This window comes from Homo sapiens, chromosome Y, assembly GCF_000001405.40.
Source record: "Homo sapiens chromosome Y, GRCh38.p14 Primary Assembly".
Taxonomy (NCBI): domain Eukaryota; kingdom Metazoa; phylum Chordata; class Mammalia; order Primates; family Hominidae; genus Homo; species Homo sapiens.
In genome coordinates, this window is record NC_000024.10 from 22,957,865 (window position 1) to 22,973,284 (window position 15,420).

The 15,420-nt window shown below is 42.5% G+C and overlaps 1 long non-coding RNA gene across 1 annotated transcript in view; it reads left to right on the forward strand.

Moving 5' to 3' along the window:
* Positions 1-15,420, forward strand: part of TTTY4 (testis expressed transcript, Y-linked 4) — a 36,830-nt gene extending 21,410 nt beyond the window's left edge. Inside the window, exons 2-4 of the long non-coding RNA NR_001525.1 lie at positions 5,764-5,839; positions 7,644-7,751; positions 14,420-15,420. This is a non-coding gene — a long non-coding RNA (testis expressed transcript, Y-linked 4). The remainder of the gene's footprint in view (positions 1-5,763; positions 5,840-7,643; positions 7,752-14,419) is intronic.

The window sequence follows — 15,420 nt, forward strand, 5'->3', positions numbered from 1 at the left end:
GATAAAGAGGAAATCGTGAGTCTCGTTTGGACACCCAGCTGACTGGAAGGATTTTCACAATCACAGATGTATAAAAGCTACTGTTCTACATGAAAACAAGACACATGTGGCATTATAAGTCTAATCCCTAGAAATTTATTTTATCATGACTGTGATCTAAAACTCTTCCATGCGCTTTTTTGATTTCACTCTTTGGACTGGTTCCAGCCTACACATGGAATTTTGATATCTACCTGGGCCAACATTGAAGTCTTGTGATTCTTCTGCCTGGCCTGCTCTCAGGAAGAATTGTGACATCATTGGATCCAGTACTTAGGTGACGTTACATTCATGCTTGCCCCATGCCCACACACATCCTTGTGACATATTATGTTGTCCATCACTGAGGTGATATAACTTTCCTCTCTGAAACGGGCCCTGCACACAGGGCAGGAGAGTGACATATTCATAAGCCAGGCACACAGGTAATGATACTTTTCTTTGCCAGGGCCATGCACAAAAGATAAGATTATGACATGTTACAGGGCCTATTGTATAGGTGATATGGCTCTCCTGCTTGAAAACTGCCCACTGGAATAGTGACATATTGCTAGACCAGGTGACAAAGGTGATTGTACTCTTTTGCCAAGACCATGGTTTCAGGAAGGTTATGTGACATATATCTGGGCCTATCACCTAGGTGATGTGAATTCCTTCATAGGCTGCCCACATGGAGCATTGTAACATAAGGGTGGAACCTGTTCCTAGGTGATGTAACTCTCTTGCCTAGGTCCTTTTCTAAGGGGGATTTGTGAATATCTCAGGACCCAGGACCAGGTGATGTGATTCTTCAGCCTGGCTTCTTCCCACATACTAAATTGTGACCTATACCTAAAGAAGCACCTAGGTGATACGACTCACTTTTTTTGCCTGAGCCCTGCCTACAAATGACTTTGGGTCATATCATTGAGCCCATGACCTAAGTAATTTGACTCACTTCTTCTGTCTGTAGTTTTACAGTGGGAGAATTGTGATGTATTGAGAAGCCCCGTACTTAGGTTGTGTGACTCTCATGTTCTTGCTAAAGAGTGCCCATGAACAGGGCTTTTGCTGTATATCAGGACCCAACACCCAGATAATATTACTCTTCTGCCTAGCTCATGGATAAAGAGGGAATTGTGGCATATTGCTTGGCCCAGGACCCTAAGAATATGACTCTTCTGTCCATGCCAGGGCCACAGAAGGTATTTTGACATGTCTTTTGCTCATTCTGTAGGTACTTTGGCACTAACCAGTTTGCTGGGTTTCTTCCACGTATTTTTGTGTCACATTGTGGGTTCCAGCCCCCGGTTAATGTGACCCCATTTCTTAGGCTCTGCCTAGGGAGGGCACTATGATATATTGCTTGGCACAACACCTAAATGGTGTTAACCTTCTGCCTAGTTTTTTGCCCACAAATGGGATTATGACATACACTTTGCTTCAGCTCCAAGGCATGATGATCAAGCTTATTGTGGGATTAAGCCAATAGGGGACATTTTACCTTTTACCCCTAGGTTTAGGTCAATAGTTAAGGACCTTCATTTCATATTTGTTCAAAGATCACAGAATTTTACAACATTAACTCATATCCTACATTCACAAAGCTTATTGCTGAAGTCCTGAATTGATCAAGTCAATAGAACCGAAAGTTTGAATTGTGACTCTCATAAGTGAATCTGACTACAGGTGAAATGGTGGATCATTTCTACACCCATCTCACAGGCCTAATAATGGTCTCAACCCTGATGCCAGCCTGTAGGAGACATGTTGCCTGACATACCTCAGTTTAGGGCAATATGTAAGATTATGAGTCCATATAAACATGTAGCCCACAGAAAGTTTTGCAACACTCATGCCTGTTGCGTAAAGTTTTCAGATGTTGTAGAGAGTATCATACAATGGCAAGCACACTTGGGAGATTGTGACTGTCATATACACAACTAGATAACAGTTTATGATGTCATGCTTAAAGATGAGGAGATTATGCCACATCCCTTGGCTTAGTATACCGGTATTGAGACTTTTTGGTTTAAATTCTTTTCCATGAGGTCATTGTTACATATCACTGGATCAGAACCATGACAATGTGACTCTTCTATCTTGGCCCTGCAAAGAGCAGATATTTTCACATATCTCTGCATCTATTGGCTAAGTGACATTTCCCTCCTGCCAGTGCCCTGCCCACAGGGGACACTGTGACATATTGCTACATATAGCATCTAGGTAATGTGACCCTCCTCTCCTGGATGGATCCTGTTGACTGAAGAAATTGTGACATACCACTGAGCACAAAGTCTAGGTGACATGGCTCTCTTCTTTGTTGTGTACTCTGCCAAAAGAGGGAATTATTACATATTATTGAGCCCAGCATGCTCGTGGTCTAATTCTTTTTTTTTTTTTTTTTCTTTGAAGATGTCTACATTGGGCATGGTGACATATTACTTGAGGCTATACCCAGGTGATGTGGCTCTTCTTCCTGGTTTCTGCCCACATGTTAGATTGTGACATATAACTAGAGAAGAATATAAGTGATATAACTCTTCTTTTCTACCTGAGCCCTGCATACAGGGGCACCGGGATGTTTCTCTGAGCCCATGACCTAAGTGAAGTGACTCTCTTCTCCTGCCTGGTCTTTACAATGAGAGGATGGTGACATTGGTGACATATGGCTGAGCCCAGCACTCGGGTTATTAGACAAACAAAGATTTTGACCTATTGCAGGGCCAAGCATGCAGATAACATTACTCTTTTGCCTGGGTCCTGCACATATGAGGGATTATGGCATATTTCTGGGCCCAGCACCCTAATAATGTGACTCTCATGGCTGACCCAAAGCCACAGAAGGTATTGTGATATATCCTGGGCCCATTCTGTTGGAATTTTGGCTTTCATTTCTAGGTTGTCTTTTTCCACATATGGGATTTTGTCATATTGCAGTTCCAACACCCAGTTAATGTTACTCTAATCCCTATACCCTTCTTAGAGAGGACATTGTGACATGATGCTTGTCACAGCACCCAAGTGATGTTACCTTCCTGACTCACTTTTTGACCACAAATGGGACTATGTCCTACACCTTACTTCAGTTCACAGGCATGATGGTCAAACTCATGCTGGGATTCAGCCAGTAGGATACATTTTGCCATTCATTACTAGGCTTAGGGAAATAGATGAGGTCCTGGGTTTCATATTTGCATCAAACTCAAAAACTTTACACTAACTCATAATGTATACATTTCTTGGGTTGTAAAGAGAGTTTTATGAAAGAGATCATCAAAAGTTTAGATTAGGACTCTCCGTTAGACACCCAGGTGAAAGCAAATGTCGTCACCATCCCACATGTACAAAGCCCACTATTAAGTTCCTAAGTCTAAAAGTGAATAGAGAACAAAATTGGAGTTGTGATCTTCATATGTTGATCTGGCCTCAAATGGGAGGGTGACTCACTTCTGGATCCAGCTTACAGGCAAAATAAGGGGTCTCATCCCTGAACCTAGCCTACAGAAGATATGTTGACTATCGTATCTGGGTTTATGGCAGTATATAAGATAATGAATCCATACAAGCATGTTGGCCTCAGAGTGGTTTGCAACTCTCACGAATGCTGTATAAAGCCTTTGAAAGTTGTAGAGTGTGATACAATGATCCAGGAAACACATGAGATTGTGTTTCTCATATTCACACCCAGCTCACAGTGAATCATGTCACTCTGAAAGACAAGGAGTTCTGGCATATTACGAAGCCTGTTACCAAGATGTTGAGACTTTTTGGCTTAAATTCCTTCCCATGGATTCACTGTGACATATCACTGGGTTAGAATCATAATAATGTGACTCTTCTGCCTTGACGCTGCCAAGAGGGAATATTATCACATATCTCTGGGTCTATAAGCTAGGTGATTTGTCTCTTCTTTTTGTGCCCTGTCCCCAGGGGACATTGTGAAATATCGGTTTACATAATATTTAGAAAATGTGACTATCCTCTCCTGCCTGGGCCCTGCTCACCATAGAAGTTGTGACATACCGCTGATTGCAAAATCTAGGAGATGTAGCTCTCCTTCATATTCTAGACTCTTCCAAAAGAAGGATTATTACATATTGCCGAGCTCAGCATCTAGGTGGTGGAACACTCCTCTTTTTCTTCTTTCCTGTCTTTAGTGGGCTTGGTGACATACTGTTTGAGGCTGTACCCAGGTGATGTGACTCTTCTGACTAGGCCCAGCCAAAAAATGAGTATATACTGTATCACTGGCTCAGCACTCAGGTGATGTGATGTTACCCTTCTGATTAGCCCCAGACTACAAACAAGATTATACTATATAACTGGCTCAGCACCCAACTGATGTGACTCTCCTGGCATTTTTTCTGCTCACAGATCCAGCTGTGACATGTACCTTGTTTAAGCACACATGCACAATAATAATTCTCATACCTGGACCCATCCAGTAGAGATAACTGACTCTCACAGCCAGTCTCACAGCCATTGGTAAAGTCCTGGGCTTTTCACTTGTATAAATTTCACGAAGGATTATAACACTCAGGTATATCACATAAAGCCTTAATGATACAAAGAGTGTAATAACAGAAAGCAGCAATGAGGTGAGAACACTTGTATGTACACCTAGCTGACACGATTGACATTCTCCCACATGAACAGGGCCTAGGAATGAGGTAATAAATCATGCACATAAAAAGCAGTCAAAGATTGAAATAATTACTCTTATACATGGATCTGATTCACAGGTGGTTTGGTAACATACGAACCATGATTCAACACACCTGTAGTGCTGACTCCCCTACTGGAAAACCATCTTCAAGTGAGATTGGGGCTCTTATACATGAATCTTGCTCGTTGCTGAGATTGTAACTCCTCTGCTTCAACCCAACTCACAGAATAATTGAATCACTTACACAAAAGAAATACTTGTGTGGGATGTGGAACTTATTTCCAAATCTTTCTGAGAATATAAAAGGGAGAGGTAACTTTGCCTAGCACATGAATCGTCTGACTCTCTTTTCTAATCCCAGACTAGATTTTGCCATATGTGAAACAAGCACCTAAGAAACATATAATAGTTTCCAGAACTCCCACTGCAAAGGTCACTTTTATATATCACTGGGACAATCACCTAAGTGATGTAAATTATCTGCTGAAAACTGCCTACAAGAATTGTGTCTTAAATCTAGGTACATCACATAAGTGTAGTGAGTCCCTTCTACTGTCTTGGCCCTGCACTTACACTGAAATGTGACACATAACTGGGTGCTGCACCCATGTGACATGATTCTCCTTTTTGAGCTCTGCTAACAGGAAGCATTGGAACATATCACTTGGCTCAGCACCTAGGTGATGTTTCTTCATATTTTCTCTGGGCCCTGACCATGGGGAAATTGTGACATATTGCTGCACCCAGCACTAAGTTGTGGTCACTCTACAGCCTTGGTCTTGCACATGAGGGTCATTGTGACATATATCTGCACCAGTTGCCTAGGCTAAGTGGTTCTCCTCTCTTGCCAAAGTTCTGCCCACATAGTGAGTTTTGATATGTCACTGCAAGCAGCATGCAGGTGATGTGGCTTTTCTGCCAGGGTCCTGCCCGCAAAGTGTATTGTGACATTTTACTGGACCCGCACACACATAGCTGATGTGACTTTCTTGGCTACTCTCTGGCCACAGGTTACATTCTTGTCTGCAGCATGCCCACAAAAATTATTGTGACATATTTCTGTGTCCACCTCATAGGTGATGTAACTTTCCTCTCTGGAATGGGCCCTGCTCAAAGAAAAGGTAGTGACATGATTCAAGACTGAGAACACAGGTGAGGCTACTCTTTTGCCAAAGCCATGCCCAAAGGAGAGGATTCTGATGTATCTCTGGTTATGTGGCTCTCCTGCTTGGGTATTGCCAACCTGGAGCGTGACATGTTTCTAGGCCAGGCACACAGGTGATGGTACTCTTTTGCCAGGGCCATGCCTCATAGAGGACTTTGTGACATATCTCTGGCCCTATCACCTAGGTGTAGTCCATTCCTCCTTAGGCACTACCCACATGGAGCATTGTGGCATAGGCAGAGAACCTGCATGTAGGTGACGTAACTCCATTGTCTGGCAGCTGTTCTAAGAGAGCCTTGTGAAATATCTCAGCATGCAGAACCCAAGCTATGTGGCTCTCCTGTCTGTTTTCTGCCCACATGTAACATTGTGATATATTCCTCAGGAAGCACCTAGGTGATATGAATCTCCTTGACTGCCTGAGCCCTGCCTACTGGGGTCATTGGGATATATCTCTGAGCCCATGACCAAAGTCATATGGCTCTCTTGTACCAGGGCCTTTAAAATGGTGGGATTGTGACATGTTTCTGAGCCCAACATTTACATCATGTGACTCTACTCTTTTTTCTGAACCGTGACCGCAAAGAAATTTTGACCTATTGCACTCAGATGATGTTATTTTTCTGCCAGAGTCCTGAATAAAGATAAAATTATTGCAGATGGTCAGCTGAGCACCCTGATGATGGTACTGTCCTATCTGTGCCAGAGCCACAGAGAGTATTTTTGACATGTCTTCGGCTTTTTCTGTAGGAGTTTTGGCTCTTATCCCTTGGCTAATATTTTTCACATGTGGAATTCTGTAATATTGCTGGGCGCAGCACCCAGTTAATGTAACACTCCTTCCTAGGTTCTGCCTAGAGAGGGCATTGTGACATGTCGATTGCCATATCGCCTATGTGATGTTACTCTTTTTCCTAATTTTTTGCCCACAAATGGTATTATGACATATACCTTGCTACAGCTTACAGGTATGATGGTCTCTTATATTAGGATTCAGGCAATAGAAGATATTTTGCCTCTCATCGCTAGGCTTAGGGCAACATATAAAATTCTGGGTTGGAAATTTCTTCAAAGCTCACAGAAGTTTACAACACAAATTTGTCTTGTATAAACTACTTGGGTGATACAGGGTTTCATAACAAGGCCCAGCAAAGAGTTAAGATTGTGACTGTCAATTACACACCTAGGTGAAAGTAAAAGTCGTCACTATCCCACATTTACAAAGCCCACCGTTGATGTACTGAGTCTAACAAGTGAAAAGAATATAAAGATAAAATTGTGGCTCTCATATATGGATCTGGCCACATGTGCGATTGTGACTCATTTTTGACCAAGCTCACAGACATTCCTGACATCAGCCTAAATAAGAGATGTTGGCTATCATACCTGTGCTTAAGGCAATATATAAGACTGTGATTTCATATAAGCATGTGGGCCTCAGAGTAGTTTGCAACTCTCACGCATGCTATATAAAGCCCTCAGACATTACAGAGGGTGTCATAGCATGGCCCAGCACACACGTGACATTGTGACTCATATACACACCAAGCTAACAGTTAAAGGTGTCACTCTCAAAGATGAGGAGATTGTGTCTTATCGCTGGTCCTAGTACCCAGGTGTTAAAACCTTTGCATAAATTGTTTCCCTTGTTTGCATTGTGATATATCCTGGGTTCAGAATCATAATAATGTGACTGCTCTACCTGGGCCCTGCCAAAAATGTATATTATCACAGATCTCTGAGCCTATCAGCTAGGTAATTTGTCTATTTTGCCCATGCTTTACCCTCAAGGAACATTATGACATATCTTGAAGTAACATCTGGAAGTGTGACGCTCGTCTCCTACCTGGGTCCTGACCGCAGAATGAATTGTGACATACGACGGAGTACAAAACCTAGGTAATGCAACTCTCCTCCTTGTTCCAGAGTCAGCCAAAAGAGGTAATTACTACATATTGCTGAGCTCAGCACCTAGGTGGTGTGACTCTCCTTTTTTTCTTCAAACCTGTCTACAGTGGACATGATGCCGTAGTACTTGATACGGTACCCAGGTGATGTGACTCTTCTGACTTGGCCCTGCCTTTGAAGGAGTTTATAATGTATCCTGAGCTCAGAATCCAGGTGATGAGACTCTCCCACCTTGCTTCTGCTCACAGGTTAAATTGTGACATATAACTGGGTTCAGCTCACATGCACAAATAAAATTGTCATACCTAGAACCAGAAAGGAGAGATTTTTTGACTCCTATAGCCAGTCTTATGGCCACAAGTAAAGTACTGGGTCTCCTAATGGTATAAAGTTCACAGAGGATTATGACACTCTGGCATATTATATAAAGCCTGAGTGGTAAAAACAGTGTTATAACAGGGAACAGGAAGGAAGTATCATTGTGACTCTTGAATGCACAGCCAGCTGACCCGGTAGTCATTCTCTCACAAGAACAGGGCCTGCAAATAAGGCATTAAACCTCACAAAGAGAGCAGTCAAAAGTTAAAATTGCTCCTCTTCTATATGGGTAGTTTGGTGATGCACGATTGAGCACATCTGTGAGGCTGTGACTCCTCTGCTGGAACACATTCTTCAAGTGGAATTGGGCATCTTATACATGAAGCTTGCCCACTGTTGAGACTGTGACTCCTCTGCTTTGACCCAACTCACAGGAAGTGTTGACTCACATACAAAAATCCAGAACTTGTGTGGGACTGTGAAACTTATTTCTAAATATTTACTATCATGTGGTCAGGACATAAAAGTTAGCTGATCCCCTGAACAATTTGACGACCAAACACCTAAGTATAGATGCCTGGGTGTGCATACAAAGGGCAATTTTACATATTACAGGGATCAGCACCCATGTGATGTGAAATATTTGCCTTATCCCTGCCTATAAAAGACTTTGTGGCTTATATCTAAGTTCATCATGTAAGTGATGTGACTGCTTTCTACTGCCTTGGCCCTGCACTTATAGTGCATTGTGACACATAACTGGATACTGCACCCAGGTGATGTGACTCTGCATTTTGGGTTCTGCCAACAGAAAGCTTTGTAACATATCACTTAATTCAGCACCTAGGTGATGTTTCTCCTTTCTTGTATCACCCTGACCGAAGGGGAGATTGTAACATTGCTAAACCCAGCACCAGGTGAGATCACTTTTATACCTTGGTTTTGCACATAGCGGCCAGTGTGACATATGTCTAAGCCAATTGCCTAGGTAAAGAGGGTCTCCTCACTTACCTAAGCCCTGCCCACATGGGGGATTTTGATATATCACTGCAACCAGCATCCAAGTGATGTGACACTCTTTCCAAGGCCCTGCTTACAAGAAAGATGACTACATCTCACTGGACCAGCACCCACCCAGGTGATGTGACCTTCCTCCTTGCTCTCTGTTTACAGGTGATATTGTGCCATATACCTGAGACCAGACAAAAGGACTAATCACGACTCTTAAATCTGGACCCAGGTCATATGCAAGATGGTTATTCCCATTCCTGGAACTTTCAACCAGTGTTATTGTTATATATACTTTTGCCTAGCTCCTGAGTGATTTAATAATCCTGCCTAGGTGTAGCCCACAAATGAGATTTGGAAATATACCTCGGGTGATCACCTTGGTGATTTGACTCTCCTGTCTTAACAATATCCTAAGGAAAGATTGTAACATGTCTCTGGACCCACCATCTAGTTACCTGACTCTCCTCTCCTGCCTGGACCCTGCTTCCACTGGGGATTATAGCTTTTCTAAGCACTGCATCTAAATGATATGACTCTCTTGCCTGGTCCTTTCAATGGGACACATTGTGAAATATCTCTGGGCCTATTATTTAGGTGGTATGAGACTCCTCTTCTGTCTAGACACTGCCCACAAGGGGCATTATGCCATACATCTGGGTGTAACACCCACGTTACAAAACTTTTCTGCAAGGAACTTGTCTACAAGAAAAATAATGGAAAATTTCTGGTTCAGCATTTAGATGACTTAGCTGTCATGCCTATTTCATTACCACAGAGTAAATTGTGACCTATACATAGGCACAACTTACAGGTATAATGACTCTTTTATGTAGACCCCACAAATAAAAATAACTTTGACATTTCTAACTTACTTTAGAAACACGAGTAAATTATCTGGTCGTGGTGGCTCAGGCCTGTAATTCCAGCACTTTGGGAGGGTGATTCAGGTGGATCACAAGGTCAAAAGATCGAGACCATGCTGACCAACATGGTGAAACACCATCTCTGCTAAAACTACAAACAGTAGCTGGGTGTGGTGGTGTGCGACTGGAGTCCAAATTAGTCAGGAGGCTGAGGCAGATGAATTGCTTGAACCCAGGAGGTGGAGGTTGCAGTGAGCAGAGATTGCAGCACTGCACTCCAGCCTGGGTGACAGAGCCAGACTCTGTCTCAACAACAACAAAAACAACAACAAAAACAAGAGTGAATAAATCTCATAAATCTCTTTCTGGTAAAAAAGAAAAAAAAAAGGTCAAAGAAGATTATAACACCCTCAGATATTTTATAATGCCCTTGGCTTGTACAGAGAGTGTAAAAACACTATTCAGCAGAAAGGTGAAATTGTGAGTCTCATATACACACCCAGCTGACAGTAAATACTGTCACTGTCTGAAATATGTGAAGCCAGCTCTCACTCATGAAAACAAGACATGTGTGGTAGTGTAAATCTCATTTCAGGAATTTTCTCCCAGTGTCATTTTGAAAAAACATCCTTGCTGACCATCTGTGTGACTTGACTCTCCAGACTGGTTCCAGCCTGAGGTTGTTATTGTGATTTCTACCTGGTCCAACATCTAGGTGATGTGACTCTCCTGCCTGGGTCCTGCTCTCGGTAAGGGTCATGACATATCACTAGGTCCACCACCCAAGTCATGTTAAATTTTTGCCTGTGCCATTCCCACAGACATCATTGTGACATATCACTGTCTCGTATGTCATACAACCACTTAGGTGATGTAACTCTCCTCATGACAATGGGCCCTGCACACAGTGGGGGATAGTATCATATGGCTGGGTCAGGCACGTAGATGACAGTAATCTTTTATTAGAGCCGTGTCCTAATGAGGGCATTGTGACAAATCTCTGGTACTATCACTTAGGTGATTTTGCTCTCCTGCCTGGGCCCTGCTTACCTTGATAGTGACACATTACTAGGCTAGGCAAACAGGTGATGGTACTCTTTTGCCCGAGCCATGCCTTAAGAAGGATATCGTAACATATCTCTGGCCTATTACCTAGGTGATCTGACTATCTTTTTGAGCCCTGCCCACGTGGAGCATTGTGACATAATGGTACAACCCGCACCTATTTGTTATAACACTCTTGCATGGGTGCTGTCTTAAGGGAGGCTTGTGTGATATATCTCAAGAGCCCACATCAAGGCGATGTGGCTCTTTTGCCAGCTTTCACCTCATATGTTAGATTGTGTTATATACCTAGGGAAGCCCCTATGTGATATGACTCTACCCTTCTGCCTGAGCCCTCCTTACTTGAGACATTGGGTCATATATCTGAGCCTGTGTCTTAAGTGATGTGAATCTTTTCTTCTGCCTGAGTCTTTGCAATGGGGTGATTTGACATACTGCTAAGCCCAATACTTAGGTACTATGACTCTTTTTTCCCCAACCATGCCCAAGAAAAAGATTTTTGAGGTATTGCAGGGCCCAGCACCCAGATAATCTTTCAATTCTACCTGGGTTCTGCATAAAGAGATAATTATGGCATATTGCTGGGCCCCTCACCCTGATGATGTAACGCTCCTTCCTGTGCCAGAGCAACATAAAGTATTTTTACATATTATAGACCCATTCAGTAGGAGTTTTTGGTGTCATCATTTGTCTGGGTTCTTTTTTTTTTCCACATTTGGGATTGTGTCATATTGCTGGGTCCAGCCCCCATTTAATGGATCCCTCACTTCTATATCATGCCTAGAGAGGGCATTGTGACATATTGCTTGACACAGCACCTAAATTGTGCTACCCTCCTGCCAAGTTTTTTTTTCTACAAATGGGATTTTGAAATTTACCTTGCTTCATTTCAAAGGCATAATAATCAAACTTATATTGGGATTGCACCAATAGTAGACACTTTGCCTCTCATTGCTACACTTAGGGCAATAGGTAAGGTTATAAGTTGCATATTTGCATAAAGCTCACATATGACAACACTAATTCAAATTCTGTAAACTTTTTGGCTGGTACACAGAGTTTTATAACAGGGCCTAGCAAAAGGTTAAGATCGTGACTCTTGATTACACATGTCATGCAGGAGAGAGATGAAGATTTCATTATCCCACATTTAAAAAGACCACTGTTGAAGTCCTCAGTCTAACAAGTAAATAAAGTACAAAGATGGAATTGGGACTTTCATATGTGTGTGTTGCTACAGTTGAGATGGTGATTCAGTTCTGGACTCAGATCACAGACATAATAATGGGTCTCCTGTCTGAACCCAGCCTATAAGAGAGATGTTGTCTATCATAACTGAATTTAAAGCAATACATAAGATTGTGAGTCAACAGGAGCATGTAGGCCTCAGAATGGATTGCAAATCTCATGCATGTTACATAAAGCCTTTGAATATTGTAGAATGTGTCACACAATGACCCAGAACACGTTACATTGTGACACTTACATACATACCAGTAAAAAGTGTCACCCAAAAAGATAAGGAGATTGTGTCATATCACTATGCCTGGTAACCCTAGGTGTTGAGATTAGTGGCTTAAATTCTTGACCATAGGTGGATTTTGAAATATCGCCGGGTTAGGATCATAATAATGTGTACTCTTGTTCTTGGACCTAGCAAACAGGAAATATTATCACATATCTCTAGTCCTGTTTGCTAGGTGATGTGTCTCTCCTGCCAGTGTCTTGCCCACAGGGAACACTATGACATACCACTAGATATAGCATCAAGGTAATGTGACTCACCTCTTCTGCCTGGATCCTGCCCACTGATGAAATTGTGACATACCCCTGAGTGCAAAACACAGGTGATGTGACTCTCCCCTTTGTCCTGGACTCTGTTAAGAGCAGCGATTATATCATATTGCTGAGCCCAGCACGTAGAGGATGTAACTATCCACTATTTTTTCAACCCTGTATGCAGTTGTCAAGATGACATATTATTTGAGATTGTACCCAGTGATATGACCCATGTCACTGGCTCCTTACCACAGAGGAGATTATAGTGTATCCATGGCTCAGTATGCAAATGATGTGACTCTTATGCCTTGTTTCTGTCCAAAGGGAAAATTGTGATACATACCAGAAATCAGCACACTTGCACAATAATAACTCTCATACATGAACCCAGCCAGGGGGAATATTTTAACTCTCATAGTCTGTCTTACAGCCACGGATAAATTCCAAATCTCCCACCTATAAGAAATCACAGAAAAGTAGCCTAGTCAGGCATATCATATAAATCCTGAGTGGTACAAAGGGTGTCATAACAGGCACCAGTGACCACGTGCTATTGTGACTCTTGGACGCACACCCAGCTGGCATGTTTGTTATAAACAGGGCCTATGAATGATTTACTAAATCTCCCTCCCATAAGCAGCTGAAGCTAGAAATTGTTACCTTATATATGAATCAGATCCATAGGTGGTTTGGCGATGTTTGAACCACAACTCAGCAGACCTTTGGTGATTTGACTCTTATCCTGACACACAATCTTCAAGTGGGATTGGGGCTCTTATACATGCATCTTGCCCATTGTTGATATTGTGACTCCTGTACTTTGACCCAGTCATAGGAGATGTTGAGTCTCATGCATGAAGCTCAGACTTGTGTGGGACTGTGAAACTGATTTCTGAACACTTTTTAGTGTGTGAATGAGAAGTGTGACTTTGCCCAGCATCTGAGTGTTTTGACTCTGCTTTCTAGGCCCAGAGCAGAGTTGAAATTGTGACATACATGCAACAAGCAACATATAACACCTTTAGCAACGTGACAGGGGGCACTTTTACATGACACTGAAACCAGCATTCAGCTGATGTAAAATCTTGGCCTGAGCCCTGCCTGCAGACAGCACTGTGGCTTTTTTCTAGGTCCATCACATAAGTGATATGACTTCTTTCTACTGCCTTGGCACTGCACTTATGGTGCATTGTGACACATAACTGGGTACTGCACTCAGGTAATGTGACTCATTTTCCTGTGGCGCTCTGCCAATAGGAAGCTTTGTAACATAACACTTGGTTCAGCACCTCAGTGATGTTTCTTCTCTCTTGCCTGAGCTCTAACCACTAGAGAGATTATGAAATGTTGCTGAACCCAGCACCAAAGTGAGGACACGCTCCTGCCTTGGTCCTGCACATAGGGGCTATTGTGACATATCTCCAGGCCAATTGCTTAGGTGAATTTTGTCTCCTTTCCAGCCTAAGCTCTGTCCTTAGGGTGGATTTTCATATATCACTTAAACCAGCATCCAGGTGATGTGACTCTTTTCCAGGAGTCTTGCCCACAAGGAGGATTGTGACATTTCACTGGACCAGCACCCACTGAAGTGATGTGACTTTCCTTTCTTCTCCTTGCCCACAGGTGAAATTATGCCATATACCTGAGACAGATCAAAGGAATAATAACAACTTTATACCTGGAGCCAGGATGTGCAGAATGGTGACTCTCATTCCTGAACATTTCCACCAGTGCTATTGTGACATACACCTTGGTCCAGCTCCTCAGTGATTTAATAATCCTGCCTAATTATAGCCTGCATATGACATTTTGACATATACCTGGACCTAGAACCTTGGTGATTTGACTCTCCTGTTGTAGAGGGTCCTCAGAAAAAACTATAACATATCTATGGGCCCATCATCTAGGTAATGTGATGTTCCCCATTTGTCTGAACCTCCTTTCAGTGAAGAGTGTGGCATTTCTAAACACTGCATCCAAATGACATGACTCTCTTGCCTGGGCCATTTCAACAGGAGGCCTTGTGACATATCTCTGAGCCCATCATTTTGGTGATATGACTCTCCTCACCTGCCTGGACATTGTCCACAAGAGGCATTATGCGATAGAGCTGGGACTGGCACCAAAGTTTTCTGACTTTTCGGTTAGTGCCCTGCTGACAAAGAGAACGTTGTAATACTTCTGGCTTAGAATGTAGGTGATGTGTTTGTTCTATCTCTTTTATAACCAAAGACGGGATGGTGACATATAACTAGGCACAGCTAATAGGCATGATAATGACTCTCTTATGTGGACCCAGCCAATAGAAGAAATGTTGCCTCTTATAACTAGGTTTAGGGACATGAGTGATGTAGAATCTCCTTCTGGTAAAAAGGTCACAGAAGATTGCAACACTCACACATATTTTTTAACACCCTTGTGTTGAATAGAGGGTGTCACAAAGCACCTAGCACACAGAATAAATTGTGAGTATTGTATGCACACCCAGCTGACAGCAAGGAATTTCACCATCACAGGTGGATGAAGGCATCTGTCCTACATGAAAACAGGACATGTGTGGTATTCTAAATCTAATCCCCAGAATTTTATTTCTTCAAGACTGTGATATAAATCTTTGCCAGTTA